This window comes from Homo sapiens, chromosome 6, assembly GCF_000001405.40.
Source record: "Homo sapiens chromosome 6, GRCh38.p14 Primary Assembly".
NCBI lineage: Eukaryota > Metazoa > Chordata > Mammalia > Primates > Hominidae > Homo > Homo sapiens.
Genome location: NC_000006.12, coordinates 161485680 through 161503668, shown reverse-complemented (window position 1 = coordinate 161503668; position 17989 = coordinate 161485680). Strand labels below are relative to the sequence as shown.

The 17989-nt window shown below is 42.4% G+C and overlaps 1 protein-coding gene across 6 annotated transcripts in view, besides 1 other annotated feature; it reads left to right on the top strand.

Annotated features, from left to right (window-relative positions):
- The window catches only part of PRKN (parkin RBR E3 ubiquitin protein ligase), a 1380350-nt gene that overhangs the window by 1224098 nt on the left and 138263 nt on the right, over positions 1–17989 (top strand). The gene's annotated exons all lie outside the window — the stretch shown is intronic.
- Positions 4854–5355: an enhancer, noted in NCBI's record as "NANOG hESC enhancer chr6:161919346-161919847 (GRCh37/hg19 assembly coordinates)". NCBI's record gives its function as "activates a minimal SCP1, AML or CMV promoter by ChIP-STARR-seq in naive H9 embryonic stem cells {active_cell/tissue: H9 hESC(naive)}" and the evidence as "EXISTENCE:reporter gene assay evidence [ECO:0000049][PMID:30033119]".

Sequence of the window (17989 nt, the reverse complement as noted above, 5' to 3'; positions counted from 1 at the left end):
GCTCTCGAAGCAGGGCTCTGGGGGCAGAGCAACTGCCTTAGAACCCAGCTAGACTAGGTCGCCCCCATAGCCCCCTCAGTCCAGTCCCTCACCTCCATAAACCTCTGTTAAATGAGGGTAATTAATAAGTATCTACCTCCTGGGGCCGTTGCAGCCATTAAGTGAGTTAAAACATGTAAAAGTCTTAGTGCAGTGGGGGCAAAGGTTATTTAGTGGCAGAGGTTATTTAGGATGAAAATGGTACTTATCCCATATATTTGTGGTGAGAATGACCTGAATAACCCACAGAAAGAGCACAGTGTGCAGCAAACAGAAGTTCATGAGTCTTGGCTATTGTATAAAAGACTTTTTTATGACTTGTTCAGACAAGATTAAAATCTTCAGAATGACAGCCATAAATTCATCAAGACTCTACGGTACAGCAGCAGCCCCCTCCCGTTCTACCCTCCTTTTAGTCAATCTAGTATTACAAGTAGCACCCAGGCCTTCCAGATCCCATCTCCTCCCTCTACATGGGAGATCAGTTTGCCTTTATAATACACACCTGCTGTTAGCCTTGGGCCAGAAGACATACCCTGAAAGTCACTAGAACCATTCGTTCATCAACCATAAAATAGTAAGATTTCCAACATATTAAGAAGTTTCTATCAGACATGGTGCTTAACATTGGATATGTATCATCTAACTCAATCCTTGCCACAAATGCATGAAGTAAGTGCTGTTCTCCTCCTACAATTAAAATGAAGAAAGTGAAGGTTAAAGCAATTAAGCGACATCCCCAGGGTTACGCACCTACTAAGCTGTGGAGTCAGGTTTTTAATCCAGAGCCTTCTACTCCAGAGCATGTACTTATAACCATTCCACACCTGTCCTTCCCACACATTCACCGTAGAGCATGGATCAGAGCCACCTCATACCCTCACCGACACTGCTCCACCATCATTAGTCCTAGCCGATAACACTGTGTTCTAACTATTATCTTTCCATAAATGCACTGGTACTCCAGAGGTTGCTACTCCCAAATCCCCCATTTCTCTCTTCCCTGCTTGTTACTGGTCCCCTCCTTCAGGATACTCTTACTATCCTCATCCCTACCAGTCAATGCACATAAATGACAGCTCACATTATCCCATTTTTTAAATGTGGGAATGGATTCCAGAGTCGGGATGTTGCTTCAGAAGAGAAGGGGTGGGAAGGCAAGTAGCTTGGGGTGCTGGGAAACCTTGCTAATTTCCCAGGGTTGGTTAGAAGGGGTCCTTTACCATCAGTCATGTTTACTTCTAGAAGCTCTCCTTTTGATGTCATTGGTTTTCTGCACAGCCAAACATTGTTCATGAGCTTAGAGAAAATATTGTTATTGGCTTGGTTGACAGCGTCTTAATCTCTTTATGTCTCAGCGTCCTCAGCTATAACATAGGGATAGGAGTAGTGCCTCTCCCAAAGAGTGCAAACTTAATCAATTGACTAATGATAAGCATGTGCAGTGCATGGCCCAAAATGGACATGATTAGCAACAATGATGATCAGGATAATGCATTTCAGAGTTGCTTCATGTGATCCACAAAAAGCAGTTTTTAACACAACTCATAAAAAAGCTTTTATGCCCAGATGATTCAGTGATCCAGGTATTCCTTCTCACATGGCTGATAACTAAGACATGCAGACTTTCTCTCTCATGTCACTCACTGACAGCGCATCTTAGAAACGTAGTGTTATATCTTCCCCCAGAACAGCCGCATCTTAGAAACGTAGGGTTATATCTTCATATCTTGGTGTTACATCCTCAGCCTCAGGATGCTGCTGTGGCTGAGGCTGTGCTGCCTGAAGGAAACCCCTGTCTGTCCAAGGCCTGTCTGTTTGGTTTATAGACCCACACAACCCATGGCTCAAGAAGCCACTGAGCCTTGTACAAATTCACAATGTGAGATGCTATAGAGAACAAATGACCAGTTTCTCCAGCATCTGAGAGGCGTGGAGTACAAAGCAGAAGAGAGACAGTTGCAGATGGCAGACAAGTCAAACAACCACTTGAACATCTGGGCTGGGTGTGAAGCCTGATTTCTGATTCCTGGAAACAGACCAACCATTAAAAAAAAAGCATTCAACAGTCTGGGAGAAAATATTGCAAAAGACCTATCGGATAAAGGGACTATTACCAAAATATACAAAGAACTTTTCAAAATTGACAGTAAGAAAACTATCAACAAGATTAAAAATGGGCAAAAGAGCTGAACAGAAACCTCACCGAAAAAAGATATACAGATGCAAAAAAGCATATGAAAAGATGTTCAACATCATATGTCATTTGGCATTTGCAAATTAAAACAATGAGATACCTCTACACACCTACTAAAATGGCCAAAACCCAAAACATGGATGCCACCAGATGCTGGGGAGGATGTGGAGCTCCAGGAACTCTCATTCACTGTTGGTGGGAATGCAAAATGGTACAGTCTCTTTGGAAGACAGTCTGGCAGTTTCTTAGAAAACTAAACACAGCCGGGCACAATGGCTCTTGCCTGTAATCCCAGCGCTTGGGAGGTTGAGGCAGGCAGATCACGAGGTCAGGAGTTCGAGACTAGCCTGGCAATATGGTGAAACCCCGTCTCTACTAAAAATACAAAAATTAGCCAGGCATGGTGGCGAGTACCAGTAGTCCCAGCTACTTGGGAGTCTGAGGCAGGAGAATCGCTTGAACCCAGGAGGCGGAGGTTGCAGTGAGCCAAGATTGCGCCATTGCACTCCAGCCCGGGCGACAGAGGGAGACTTGGTCTCAAAAAAAAAAAAAAAAAGAAAAAAAAAAACTAAACTAAACATACGCTTACCATATGATCTAGCAAACATGCTTCTTGGTATTTACTTGAATTAGTTGAAAACTTATGTATACAACTAAACCTTCATACAGATATTGACAGCAGATTTATTCATAATTGACAAATCTGGGAAGCAACCAAGGTGTCCTTCAGTCGATGAATGGATAAATAAACTGGTACTTCCAGACAGTGAGATATTATTCCATGCTAAAAAGAAACGTACTGTCAAGCCATGGGAAGACATAGAGGAACCTTAAGTGCATATTACCAGTGAAAGATGCCAATCTGAAAAGACTACATACTGTGTGGTTTCAGCTATATGATATTCTAGAAAAGGCAAAACTCTGGACACAGTAAAAAGATCCATGATTGTCAGGGGTTTGGGGAGGAAAGGATGAGTATGTGGAGCACTGAGGGTTTTCAGGACCATGAAACTCTTTTGTATAATACTGCAGAGGTGGATAAATGTTATACATTTGTCCAAACCCATAGGAAGTACAGCACCAGGAGTGAACCTCATGTAAACTGAGGACTTTGGGTGATGATGTGTCAATGTACATTTTGCATTTATAACAAATGTACCACTCTTGTGGGGAACACTGATAGTGGGGGAGGCTGTGCATGTATAGGGGAGAGGGGAGAGGGGAGCTCTCTGTACTCTGCTCAATTTTGCCGTGAAATTAAACTGTCTTTAAAAATAATCTCTATTGAAAAATGAAAAATTCTAAAAGTTTTGACACAACTGACTTTAGATAATAGTAAGGATGCATTGATTTTCATTAACATTTCAACTGCACCTTAAAGATGCGTGAGATTTTGTAAGGAAACATGGCCGAAGGACTTTTGGCAAAGACACTGCATGAACAAAAGTGGGGAAGGAGGAGAGTGAGGGCAGCATTCAGAAGACAACTTGGTGTTCAGTTTATCTGTAATCTTGGGAACAGCTGCGGTTTCAAATAATTCATTGTATTATTCCTGGACACCATTTCAGAAATCATAGCATTTTGGCATCCAAATTCTACCTTCTGAAGGGTCTTTCAAAGCTAGAAGAGAATAAAAATTCTTTACCCATTCGTAGAACTTGGTTCTGAATATATGATGACCTCAGCCACAGAGCAGTAATTCTCAAGATTAATTGTGCCTAAGAATTGTCAAGGGAAAGGGTTACTTATGGAAAATGCAGAAACCACCACCACCTCGAATCCAGTAGGTCTGAAATGAAACCTGCAATCTGCATTTTTCACGAGCAACTCAGCTAACTTGGATCCAGGTGGACCAGGGACCACATTTTCAGAAGTCAAACCATAGAGGTAGATGCAAGAGGCTAGAAGAGAGGTCCCACATTCCAAAGCCAATAAGAAGCAACAGGTGACATGAACGAGAGAAATGAGGGGTGGGAAACACTGATCTTAGCTTTTCACTTTCATACTTAGGAGAATTATGCACTCCACAAAGAAATACACTCTTTCTCTTACTTTTAGAAAAACACAGCCCTTTCCCACTTTTGATAGAGACATGGGACAGAAATATTTCCCTATATGCAACAGACATTTATGTGTAATGACAAATAGCAACTGAAGGGAAGGAGTGGAGGCCCAGGGTGTCCTCATTCTTCACTTTAGCAAGGGAAGTTTAGGATGCATCTTTTACGTTGATCTCCCAATCTGTAAATGTTGTCTTAGATTCTTTTCAAGCACTCTGTGAGCCAAAAAAAAAAAAAAAATGTGTGTGTGTGTGTGTCCAGACCCTGCTCACAAGCCACCAGTTGTGACCTTTGAACGAAACCCTAGCTGGGAAGGTTGGTTTGGACTAGATCACAGGGTTTCAGCCTGAGTTCTGAGAAATGTGCGGAGGTTGCAAAGCATCGGGGGCTTCAGTAGAAGATAAAGAAGAATCTCAATCCTCCCCCATCCCCATACACACACACTCACCCCATCTCACTCTTCAACATGACCATCTCTGCTTTTATTATGTATAGGTGTTCCAAAGCATATTTCACTTGAAAAATAGAATGTAGCCGCTAGAATTCCCAAAGAATATCCTGGATGTATTAGTCAGCACAGACTAAAGTCTGTTGCAGTAACAAACAACTTCAACATTTCAGTGGTTTGAAACAACAAAGGTTTGTTTCTCACGCGTAAGGCCTGTCCAATAGGGTTGGCAGGGAGACTGATGTGACCTCGTTCTCCATCAGGGTCGGCAGGTGGAGCCCTTCCTTCAGGAAGCAGGATGGTGGGAGGGATGGAGAGTTGAGTGCCAGAAATTAAAGGCTCTGGCCTCAAGTTACACATGTCATTGCCACCCACATTTCATTGGCCAAACAAGGCATTTGACGACATCTAACTGGGTTAGGACAGCACACCCTTCCCACAAGCTCTCAGGGAGAAGGGAGCTGAAGACCCTGTGAGCAGTGTGAATGGCTGGCACGGCGGGGTCATGTGGTGTGTTGGGAGGAGGCTTGAATTCCAAACCAGAGAGTGAGCTTTTATTTACTGAGGAATAGGAATTATAATGGGATCGTTGAGGAGAGGAGTAACATAACAAATGTAATAAATACAAACACTAATTATAAAAAGCTAAATATTCCATTTATTAATTAATACACTCTATAACATGATACTGATTTGCAGCCTGAATAAAAATCCCCTTGGTGAGCAGAGGTTTCTATCAGCTAAATTATGAATAGTATAGGTTAGAAATTGATTAACAATAATTTGTCTTTTTTCCCACATGTGAATTTAACCAATCTAATAAGAGCTTTATAAATAACTAATGAAAAAAGCCAGTCTCAGTGCTTGTGAGTCCTCCCACTGTGGAAAATTAGACCCATCTATTGAAGAACAAATATCCCCTCATGGAAGCAAAGGTTTCCTCTCTCCCGTCATTTGATCAGATTTAGAAGCATAATTACCATCATGCAATTTGAACTAAATATATTAAAGTATTTCTTTGAAGTGAAAATAATTGGAAAGCATCAGGAACAAGCCTTTCTATTTGAGACACCTTGGGAGGAGAGTTAGCCTCAACAAAGGCTGAAGCAGCTACAGCTACTGATCCCTGCTGCCGACTTCCCACCCACCTTGGCAACAGAACCAGGCAGAATCCTGGTCTCATCTTGTTTGCATTTGATGTGAATTCTGTCAAAAGGAAGAGATAATTGAGCTAGAGTTAGCCTTCTGAATTGAAAGGGAAAGGAGCGAGAAGAGCAGCTGAAAATACTTTGTGGTGCAAAGTATTCAGTCTGTAAGTGGGATATGGTGTGTGTGTGTGTGTGTGTGAGAGAGAGAGAGAGAGAGAGAGACATGTAAGCACTGTGCACACACACAGACTTGAGAATTGTACCCTTGACTCTTTTCAATGGGAATACAGAGTTTTAAAAAGGAGTAATATCTGTCTCTTATCTCTCCTAATTTATTCCCAGTTCAAGACAGAGGAGCAAGAACTTTTTTTTCTTTAAAGGATAACCTTTGCCAGAGGGTCTGTTTTGAAGGAGGAATGTCTGTGAGAGCTGAATGATGATGTCTCTCTTTCTTCCTGTAGTGGGGACACCCTGTCCTCCACTCGCCCTTACCTGGGAAGTTGTCCTAAGGAGGTACAAATCCCTTCCACTCCTTGGCAGAGCTTCCTGTACTTCTTTACCTGACTTTTCATGTTGGGAGTGAGGAAGTACTGATAAGTGCCCCTCCTGCAGGCCACTAGCCAGCAATGCCGCCTGGCCCTGGCCTGTGGGCTGACCCCTGGGAACAGGCTGTGGAGTCGTAGCCAGGAGGAACGGGCATGCCAGCAGGTTTGTGACGGGTTTTCTGCCTTGATGTATTTGCTCCTAGGGCTGCCATTATAAAGTGCCACAAGCCGGGTGGCGTAGAACAGCAGAAATGTGTTGTCTCACGGTTCTGGAGGCCAGAAGTCTGAAATCAAGGTGCCTCCAAGGTCATGTTCCTCTGAAACCCATGGGGAAGAATCCCTCCTTGCATCTTCTGGCTTCTGGTGTTTGCCAGCAATCCTTGGCTTGTGGCTGTGTCACTCCAGTCTCTGCTCCCATCATCTCATGGCCACCTTCTTGCTGTGTCTCCCTCCTCTTCTTCTGAGGATGCCAGCCATGTTTCAGTTAGAGCCAACCTACTTTGGTATGACCTTATGATATGGTTTGGCTGTGTCCCCACCCAAATATCCCTTAAATTGTAATAATCCCCACAGATCAAGGGCTGGGCCAGGTGGAGATAATTGAATCATGGGGGTGGCTTTCCCCATACTGTCCTTGTGGTAGTGAATAAGTCTCACAAGATCTGATGGTTTTATAAAGGGGAGGTCCCCTGCACATGCTCTCTTGCCTGCCACCACGTAAGACGTGCCTTTGCTCCTCATTGGCCTTCCGCCATGATTGTGAGGCCTCCCCAGCCATGTGGAACTGTGAGTCAGTTAAATCTCTTTCCTTTATAAATTACCCAGTGTCGAGTATGTCTTTATTAGCAGCATGAGACCAGACTAATACACCTTACCTTGACTAATTACATCCACAATGACACTATTTCCAAAGAAGATCTCATTCCAAGGTACTGGGTGTTAGGACATCAGCATATCTTTGTAAGGGATACAACTCAACCCATGACACTCAGGCCACTCGATCCTCCCAGCTAGCCTTGCCTGTGTGCACTGTCATTCTGATGCTCTCTAACAGGAACCAGGAAAATCTAAAGAGATTCTGTATTCCCATCAAACCGGGAAGGGCAAGAGCACATCACTTACATGTTAAGCCTCTTAATTACATTTATTCTTTGAACAAATGTTTGGCACTTCTATGTGCTAAGCACTGTGCCAAGTGCCCAGAAGATGGTCACAGCATGCCCCCATGACACAGAGGTCTAGAACGAACACCAACATTAAATAACCCTGTGCACGGATGCTGAGAAAGGGGAAGCTCAGGGTGCCATGGTAGTATGGAGTGAGGGCTGTAACCTAGTCTTCAGAACATTAGAAAGGCCTCCCTGCTGAAATAAAGCTTCACTGAGACCTGAAGGAAGAGTTGGGTCTAACCCCACCAAGAGAGCACGGAATTAGATTCTAGAAATGATGAAAGTAAATGAAGATGACCGTGCTTGTCATAGATGAACAATAGTTGTGTGAACAAAACAGGAACCTCTTTCTCTCAGGACATGGTCCCCATGGCTGGCTCTGTGGTAAGGAAACAGAAGCTCCCGTCTGTGGCTCTGCTGTCCCTTGAGCGTGCTCAGGTGGTTGAAGGTGACTGGCACCATACCTGCCTTCCAGCTTGCACAAAGAGAGAAGGAGAAGGGCTGGGAACATGCCTTCTTTAAGGGCGTAACCCAGAAATGGCACGCTTCACTTTCGTTTACATCTCAGGTGCCAGATCCAGTCACATGGGACCCTGAGTGCAGGAGAGGCCAGGGAATGTAGTCTGTACCTGGCAGACACGTGCCCAGTGAAGGCTTCTTATACTGCAGACGGGAGGAGAAGATACACATCGGGAGGAGAAGATACACATCAGGAGGACAACTATGAGCCATAGCATGTTGTCTGACACGTTAACAACTAAGGATTCCTTCCCTCCCCTAGGATATGCCGGGCAATGCAGTGGCCACTAGCCAGCGTCCTTGGAGCACTCAAAATGTGGGTAGTCCGAAGGGAGGTGTGTTGCAAATGTAAAATACAAACCAGATTTCAAAGACTTAATACCATAGAAGAATATAAGATATCTTATTAGTAATTTTTATGCTGATTACAGGATGAAATAAATTTTTTGATATATTGTGGTAAATAAAATATATTATCAAAATCACTTTCACCTGCTTCTTTTTGCTTTCCTAAAGTGGATATTAAAATACAATTTATATGTGTGGCTCGCATTTTATTTCCAATGTATAGCACCACTCTAGAATCGTTTAACGGTGTAGAGGGCAAGAAAGATGTCAACAACAGAGTTCAAGGCGGAGCAAGGGAGAGGAGTCCTAGAAGACTGGGGAAAGGCTGGGGATGAATCCTAGAAGAACTTGATGTTCGCCTGGAGACTTGGATCTTACAAGTTCACTGGAAGCACAGAGTTCATCAGATGCACCTCAGCCAGCTGGAGCATGTTCCTGAAACCTCTCCAGCCCATTTCTTTGCCCGTAAGATGGGAATACATGTGCTTATTGCAGACCGTTTTCATACTGATTAAATCAGTTAATGTGTGTAAAGCTCTCACACAGTATCAGCACATTAAAATGTTCAGTTTTGTTACTGAATGAAGGAACCAGTCGATGAAGAAACTAGAAATTCAGTTCAATCCAGTGCCTCCTTGCACAAACAGATTTGAAATCTTTGGATAGTTTTGAAGGAAAAAGCATCATTGATCATTAAACTTCATAGAAATAGTTTCTTGAATGCAGAATGTAAGTAACACAAGGTCTCCACTCTCCTTAAGATTCAGTCCCTTGTTCCACAGGCATGAAAAGGACCAGTCAGGCTTCTCAGCTGACGTGGACACCTGATAACATGGTGATGGAGAACATTTTTGTTGAGGCTTTGAAGTAGTCAAGTATATTGACCTTGACCTACCTGGAGAGCAGGTGTTGGATAGAGTTGGGGTAAGAGTTGCCAAGACATCACAAAGTCCTGATGATACGGTATTTTCATTGCACTGAGTAACCCAGTGGGCATTTGCTATTTATTTATTTATTTTTTATTTTTTAAAAGCTGCCAAATAATTATGAAAGTTTGAAATGTTCTATTAAATATGGTATAAAACTAAGTATAGGCTGTGTCTGCAAGCACCCACTAAATCATACAGTGCTGTCAAAAATTATTTTTCAGTTTCTGTCTCCATGGTAGGAAGAAAGCATTTGTTTAGTTTAGTGGGTGGACCCGTTAACATTGCTGGAAACGGCTGATCGAGCGTCCCTGCCTTCCCGGCTCTTGTCTTGTCTGTGCGGAGATAGCCCTGTGTTCTGCCTTCTGGCTGTCACTTCTTTAGTCACTTACAGATGGCATTTTGAAGGAATGCTAATTGAAGGACTTCACTGTTCACTTCTAACTAATCATTCTGACAGAAAACATCTCCTCTGCAAAGGAAGAGGAGGAACCCAAGAGAAGAAGCTTTTGCTTCTCTGTGCTAATGCACGTCGTTCTGTTTCACCCTAAGATGCTCTATGCGGAATCAACTCAAAGAAGAGCAGTGACTGAGGTGTTGCCAGCGTCCCTCCCTCATCGGCCCTTTCTGCATCTGCTCTTCGTGTAATCTGTGCCCTTCTTTGTTCATTGCCACATATTCAGGCGACTCTGTGCTGCAACCCCCGTTAGTCCTTCCGTTCGTCCATCTATCCATCAGTTCATCAACTGGATAAACACTGACCGAGTACCTTCCATTAGCAGAGGCAGTAGAGTGTGATGGTAAAGAACACAAGCTCTGGAACCAGACTTTCTGAGTTCAAATCTCAGCCCTGGCACTTATTAGATGTGTGATGTTGGCCAAGTCATTTAAACCCCAGTGAGTGCCAGTGTCCTCATGGGTCAAATGGAATAATGATAGTGTCAAAATTATTGAGCAGTTTTGATGGTTAAGTGAATTATTAAATATAATGGGCTTAAAATACTTCTTTAAACAAGAGAACATTCAATAAAGATTGTCTACTTTAATTATTACATGTGTGCCAGACACTTTGTGGGAGATGGAAATATGAATAGGCTATGATCCTCCCCTTTGGCATCTTAAGTCCTCTTATAATATGACCAAGAAGACATTTCAGATAGGTCACCTTGCAATAAGTACAATTTGAAGCTACTTTATTATTTTTATCTTTGGTGGCATTTAACTAGAATTTAACGGTTATGTTTTATAACTATGTATATATGCATGAATACATTTTTATAAAAATTAAGACTATATTAAAAATGGTCTGTACAGCCTGCTATATTATAAAATCATAAAACATGATAGGGCCCTTAGAGGTCAGCTGGTCTAACATGACACCCAGTGTGAGAATCTTCCCACAATCACCAGCCTCTACTCAGATCCACTGGGAACACCACGTTCATCAATGCATGCCATTTTGGCTGCAGAGATTACTACTGAGTTTTTTCTTTTGTGAAATTATATTCTTTCTCTCACCAGTACCCACTTCTCTGTCACAGTTTCACTTTCCATGCTAGCAAGAAGCATGTATAATCCTTGTTTTAGATGGCAACTTCAAACATTTAAAGGTCCTTCACCCACCGTATTTTCAAAACACTGACTTGCCAAGGTTCTTTCTACCTAATATAATAAGGCCCTCCTAATATGTGGTGTCTAGAACAAAGTACAAAATTTCAACTATCTTATGATTAGAGATGGAATTTAGCAGTTCTGGTCTTCAGCCCAAAACAGCATTAGCTGACCATCAACTAAAACCCCCAGGAACTTTTCACGTTGACTGCTTCCAAGCTGGGTCTCCTCCCAGGAGTTCTTAATGCACCTCATTTTTGAACATAAAAGAAACTTTTACTTTTACCCCTTATCAATTTCAACTGTCACCATAATCTTGGTCTTGTCCAAGACCATAGGCCATAATCTTGGTCTTGTCCTACCAGGAGACCCACCCCGGGCCTGTGCCATCCATCTGACAAGAATAGCTTCTACATCTTTAAATCATTGGCAAAGTTACTGAGGAGAGTAGCATCAAGGATGAAGCAATACTCAACCTCATCATTATAATAATTAACATTGATTTAGGTCTTAACAAAGTGCTTTCACTTATAGAGTGATATTTAATTTGGTTCTCAACAACGAGATGGATGACAGCTAACATGTACTGAGCATTTACTTGATGGCAGTTCTTATATGTCTTATGAGTTTTACCTTACTTAATTCTCCCAACAATCCTATGAGGAAGGTAATGTTTTGACCCTTGTTTAGAAAGGATAAAAAACAAGGTTAAAGAAGTTAAGTCATAGGCCGGGCACGGTGGCTCACGCCTGTAATCCCAGCATTTTGGGAGGCCGAGATGGGTGGATCACCTGAGGTCAGGAGTTCGAGACCAGCCTGGCCAACATGGTGAAACCCCATCTCTACTAAAAAATACAAAAATTAGTCGGGCATGGTGGCAGGCACCTGTAATCCCAGCTACTCAGGAGGCTCAGGCAGGAGAATTGCTTGAACCTGGGAGGCAGAGGTTCCAGTGAGCCAAGATCGCGCCATTGCACTCCAGCCCGGGTGACAGAGAAAGACTTCATCTCAAAAAAAAAAAAGGAAGTTAAGTCACTTTCCCGTACAAAGTTCCAGGAGCAAATGAAATGGCTGGGATTTGAACTTCTCTACATGCCACTCTGAAATGTGTGTCTTTACCTAATATGCCAGCACTGAAAGGTGCAGAGAGTGGATTTGCCCAAATCACAAGCTTTGTAAGTTGTTTCTCCAAGATTCCAACTCACATTATACTCTTAGACTCCCTCTCCCTTTGGACTAACAAGAACAACCCAACAAACGATGTTCAGCCAGGTGCAGTAGAGCATCCTGAAACAAACCCCATCAACGCCCTCTCACGCTCCCTGTGTGGTTCACAGAGCAATCGAGAAAGCCTTGGGGAAATGAATGAGTACGATCCTTCTTCCTTCAGGCATCACCCTGCCCATCAGCCCAGCCACCTACCCAACTGTCCATACGAAGTTTTCTAAGAGAACCAAATCATTTCAAAAGATCTTGAAGTCATCTGATATATAACTGAAAGTGCTCGACTCTAAAGAAATCTGAACACAGGCAATGGTATCTGTAATAGTTCATCCTCGCACTGCTATAAAGAAATACCGGAGACTGGGTGATTTATAAAGAAAAGATGTTTAATTGGCTCATGGTTTCACAGGCTGGATAGGAAGCATGATGCTGGCACCTGCTTGGCTTCTGGAGAGGCCACAGGAAACTTTCAATCACAGCAGAAGGCAAAAGGGGAGCAGGCATCTCATATGGCGGGAGCAGGGGGAAGAGAGAGAGGGAGGAGAGATACCACACTTTTAAACAACCAGATCTCACGATAACTCACTCATGATCACGAGAACAGCACCGATGGGATGGTGCTCACACAAGCATGAGAACCCCACCCCCACAATCCAGTCAACACTGGGGATTACAATTTGACATGAGATTTGGTGGGGACACACAGCCAAACCCTCTCTGTATCTATGAAAAGTAGAGAGATCTGGCCGTGCACAGTGGCTCACACCTGTAATCCCAGCACTTTGGGATGCCAAGGTGGGAGGATCACCTGAGGTCAGGAGTTTGAGACCAGCCTGGCCAACATGAAGAAACCCCATCTCTACTAAAAATACAAAAATTAGCTGAGCGTGGTGGTGCCTGCCTGTAAGCTCAGCTACTTGGGAGGCTGAGACAGGAGAATCGCTTGAACCCAGGAGGCAGATGTTGCAGTGAGCTGAGATTGAGATCATGCCACTGCACTCCAGCCTGGGCAACAGAGTGAGACTCTGTCTCAAAAAAAAAAAAAAAAGGAAAGAAAGAAAGAGAGAGAGAGAGGGAGAGAGAGAGAGAGAGAGAAAGCAAGCAAGCAAGCAAGCAAGCAAGCAAGAAAGAAAAGTAGAGAGATTTACGTAGATTAGAGGGACAGACCACCGCCATGGCACTTTTGTGCTGGGAGCGAGCATGCCAAAGATGGCTCTCCACACCTGGGTAAGAGTTCAAAGCCTTTGTGACCAGGGATACTCCTTGGCCTTATGTTTGTCAGCTCCTCTTTTCTTCTTCAACTTGACTAGAGGAGGAAAATGCTTACGTCATTGTATTGTAATTGCTGGTCTAGGTCCTCCTGGTAAGACATTAAGTTGGAATATCCTAACAGCTACCTTCTTTATGGGGCTTGATGCCACTGCAGGAACAGATGGGCAAGGAGAACCCAGGAGTTACTGTGGAAATTGGATGCCCAGCTTAAAGTAATTGGGAGCAGTATGGCAGGAGCCATCGGAACTCAAATGAATCCAGAAGTTGGTGTTAGCATAATCAGCAACAAGCCAAGAACTGGGGAGTTCCTGCAGAGCCTGGAGGAAAGCCTTTGTATAACAGCTTGGTTTTTAACAGCATTCCTTTCCCTTGAAAACAATGTCATCCTTCACCTAATAAATCAGGTCTCAACAATTCAAGGAAGAAATATACCATAAGTGTTGTAGTAATGACAATCTAGGAATTCCTGCATAAATAATTCATGTATTAGATCCCTAGTAGGTTAAAAAAAAAAGTTCCAAGTATAGCAAAAAAAAATTATTACATACATCATTTTTAAATATAGAAATTTGTTTTTGTTTTGGGTTTGTTGTTGTTGTTTTTGAGATGGAGTTTTGCTCTTTCGCCCAGGCTGGAGTGAAGTGGCGCCATCTTGGCTCACTGCAACCTCTGCCCTCCGGAGTTCAAGTGATTCTCCTGCCTCGCCTCCTGAGTAGCTGGGACTGCAGGTGTGTGCTACCATGCCTGGCTAATTTTTGTATTTTTAGTAGAGACAGGGTTTCACCATGTTGGCCAGACTGGTCTTGAACTCCTGAACTCAGGTGATCCACCTACCTCGGCCTCCCAAAGTGCTGGGGTTGCAGGCATGAGCCACTGTGCCCGGCCAGAAATTTGTATTTTTATGATTATATTGCCCATGTTTTTTTTTTTCCAGTATGAATGTAATCACTTAACTGACAAGGCAACTAAAATACAAAATGTATAAATAAAACAATTTCTATTAAGAAAAGGAAGGAAGGGAGGGATAGGAAGAAGGAGAGTGAATTATGTCTTAGAAATCAGTATGCCAAAACTGGTTTTGATTTTTGAGACTCTTTTTAAAAAGTATTGTGAGAATTCTGAAAACTCTTAGCCCCCTTTTCTTTCATGTTTTTCTTCTAGTCGCCTCGTTCCTGAGAAATGTCATCACAGTAGGTTATCAGCCAATGGTAAATCGTGACCTCTTCATCTCCAAGGGTCTGTGTTCTATTTTCCATTGCCTTAATTCCTCTTCATCATTCAATGTATCAGCCATCCTTTTCCTGGTTAATGTACTGTTTTCTTTCATGGTCCCCTAGTCTCTTAGTAGTCAAGATTCACTGTCAAAAATTCCTTGTTATGCCAGGTGTGGTGGCTTACGCCTGTAATCCCAACACTTCAGGAGGCCAAGGTGGGAGGATCACTTGAGGCCGAGTTCAAGACCAGCCTGGGCAACATAGTGAGACCCCACCTCTACAAAAAATTTTAAAAATTAGCCAGGTGTGGTGGTGCATGCCTTTAGTCCCACCTACTCAGGAGGCTGAGGCAGGAAGATCACTTGAGCCCAGGAATTCATGCAGTGAGCTATGATGGCACCACCACACTTCAGCCTACGTGGCAGAGGAAGACCCTATCTCTAAAAAAATTAATTAAAATATAATAAATTCAGATGTCCTTCTCGGTCTCTGTTATCTTCTCTGCTCCTCTGTGAACATTACTTAAATTCCATTATAATTTATACTAACAGTTTAAGCAGCTCCACTCCGGAGAATAAAATTTGGAGTTCTTCTCACACTACAAAGACCTATGTGACCTGGCCTTCTGTCCTCGGCCCGATCACTTTCCCCTTGTTGACAATGCTCCAGTACCCTGGCCCTTCATGGTGTTCTCTAAATGAAGCAGACTTGTCCTCTTCCTAGGGCCATGACTCTCCCTTCCTGGAGGACCTTCCTTCAGCTTTTTGCATGGCTGCCTCCATTCATTTAGCCCTCTAAACAGGTGTCCCCTCCCAGGAGAGGCCTGCTTAGACCATGCCTTCCCCAACCACTGCACGATCTCACCCTGTAAGCCAGCCCTGCTTTCTTCATCACTTACCACTAACTGGAATTACATTATTCAATTGCCTTGCTTATTTTCTGCCTTTCCCCTCTCTCCACCCCATTTCATGGGAGAATCTCATTGGTTTTAGTCATAGAAGTTTTGTAGGTATTCAGTAAATATGTGTTTAATGACGGGAGGGAAGAAAAAGAGGAAGGAAGGTAGGGGGAGGTGGGAAGGGAGGGAGGCAAGGAGCAGGGCAGGAAATTCCATTCATTCATTCACTGAACATTAATGGGAAATTCCTAGTGCCAGACTTCATGCTGGAGGCAGGGTATGCCCAAAGCAATGAGCATGGTGCCTCTCTATTCGCGAGCCTCCATAGGCGCTTTTTCTGAATGAATGGAAAAGAAGGCACAACCCCTACCTCCTACATGAATACACATATTATCATATCAGTAGTCAATATTTAATATTATTCAACTAATTTCTCCTTGTAGTTGTTTGCAAGTCTAAAATAGATCTTAGTTTACCTAAGCGACCATCAAAATGTGAATAAGATGGTCTACAAAATGGTGAAGGCTTAGAACATGGGCTAAAATCCTTTTTCTGGCTTTTCAAGCTTTACCCAAACTAACCTTTCCAAACCCATCTCATTACCTTCCCAACACACACTCTTAGTTCTAGAAAATTCCTTTGCCATCCCACAGGCCCCAGACTGTCTTCCTTGCCTTGGCTCACACAGATGGGCGAAGGGGCAGTATAGGAAGGAGACAGTAGTGTGATCTGAACCAGGCAAGTGCTGGGAGTCCCAGCCCCTTCACTGAGCAGTTGTTACTGAGCAAGCCCACTTCATGGGTCTATGCCTCAATGTCTTCTCCTGTAAAAAGGGTTGAGGGATAGGACTTCACTCAGAATTGCTTTTGGATTAAACATGATCCATATACAGTCCTGGGCACAGTGTTTATCAGGCAATGGTTCATAAGCATTAGTCATTCTTACCTCATCGCCCCTCAACCAGGACACCCATCTTTCCCCGTCTCACTCCGTGGCACCTATTCACTAAACTCACTTGCCCCTAACCTCCATGAAGACGAGCTACACCTCCCCTAAACTCTTACTCAGACACTGATGTGCATTGTTACTAATATGAGCTCTCCTTAATTAAACTGTGAGCTTCCTGAGGGGAAAAATCAGGTCCTGCTAGCACAAAGCAAGTTCTTGAAAAATCCTTGATTAAAGAGTGTATGATAGAGCTAAAAAATTGGAATGCACAATTCATTCTGCTCTGGTGCTTTAAATTAATATTAAATATGTCTGTAACATATAAATCCTAGACTTTCACATTTAATCAAAGTCTTAATCATAATGAGCAGCATTTATGAAAGGGCAATTAACAGATTCCCAAAAGAACTGGAAATAGTAAATTGCTAATAGCATCCCTAAGGTTTTGCTTTTTGCTCTGATAAATTAAGTAATTTAATAATAGAGGCAGTGTGAACCAAAAAGAACGCAGGCTTAAAAGGCAGAGGACCTGCATTCTGATCCTTGCTCTGCCAGCCTGTGACTCAGCACCAGTGACTTATCTGCTCCGAGCCTCTGTTAACTCACCTCTTATGTGAGAAGCTGTATTCACACCACTGCTTGTCAGAACACGTTCCTAAAATCCTTATGGTTCTATGCATGAAATCTGACTTCAAATTTCATTTTTAAATATATCATAGACTATTTAGAAACAAAAACAACATATACATACTCTTAGCAGAAACTGAAAATTCATTATTTTGTGCAGCCTTGAGCTAAAGTTTCTGTTTAATAAAGTGCATTACAAAATTGTAAAATGAGGTGTTTAAAAAAAACACATAACTGTTTGCCACACTTATCTGGGTATATCAGTGTTTGCTTGATCTAGGCAACGTAATGAAATATAGAAAGAACGAAATAATACATGATTACATGTGTCTTTCACAAAACTAAATTTCAAAAGTTTGTGTTCACCAAAAATAAGCTTAATTTATTAAAAATAAATAGTTTATCTGTTTCTAAAAAATGGGTTTCTGGACAATATTTTCTTTGCTAAAAAGTAAACATCTCTTCTACATAATCTTAAGGGACCTTAGAACTTTCACAGTCCATAAAATTATAGTCTTAAAGCCTAATAGAATCTTACAGTTTAAGATAAATAAACTTATATGTTTAAAATTCTCATTAGATTCATCAGTGTTTCCATCTTTAACTGATTTTCCTATACTTTAAGAGCTAAAATAATTCCATGAAATTTCAATATAAAGCAATATATATATAATATATAAAGCCTTATATATTATTGTTCTAAGTCTCCAGATTATCCCAGTTCAGTCTAAAATATTCTGTTTTTCTCAGGATACCTCTCTCTACTTGAATTTTCTTCATTCTCTCAAGTGAATCT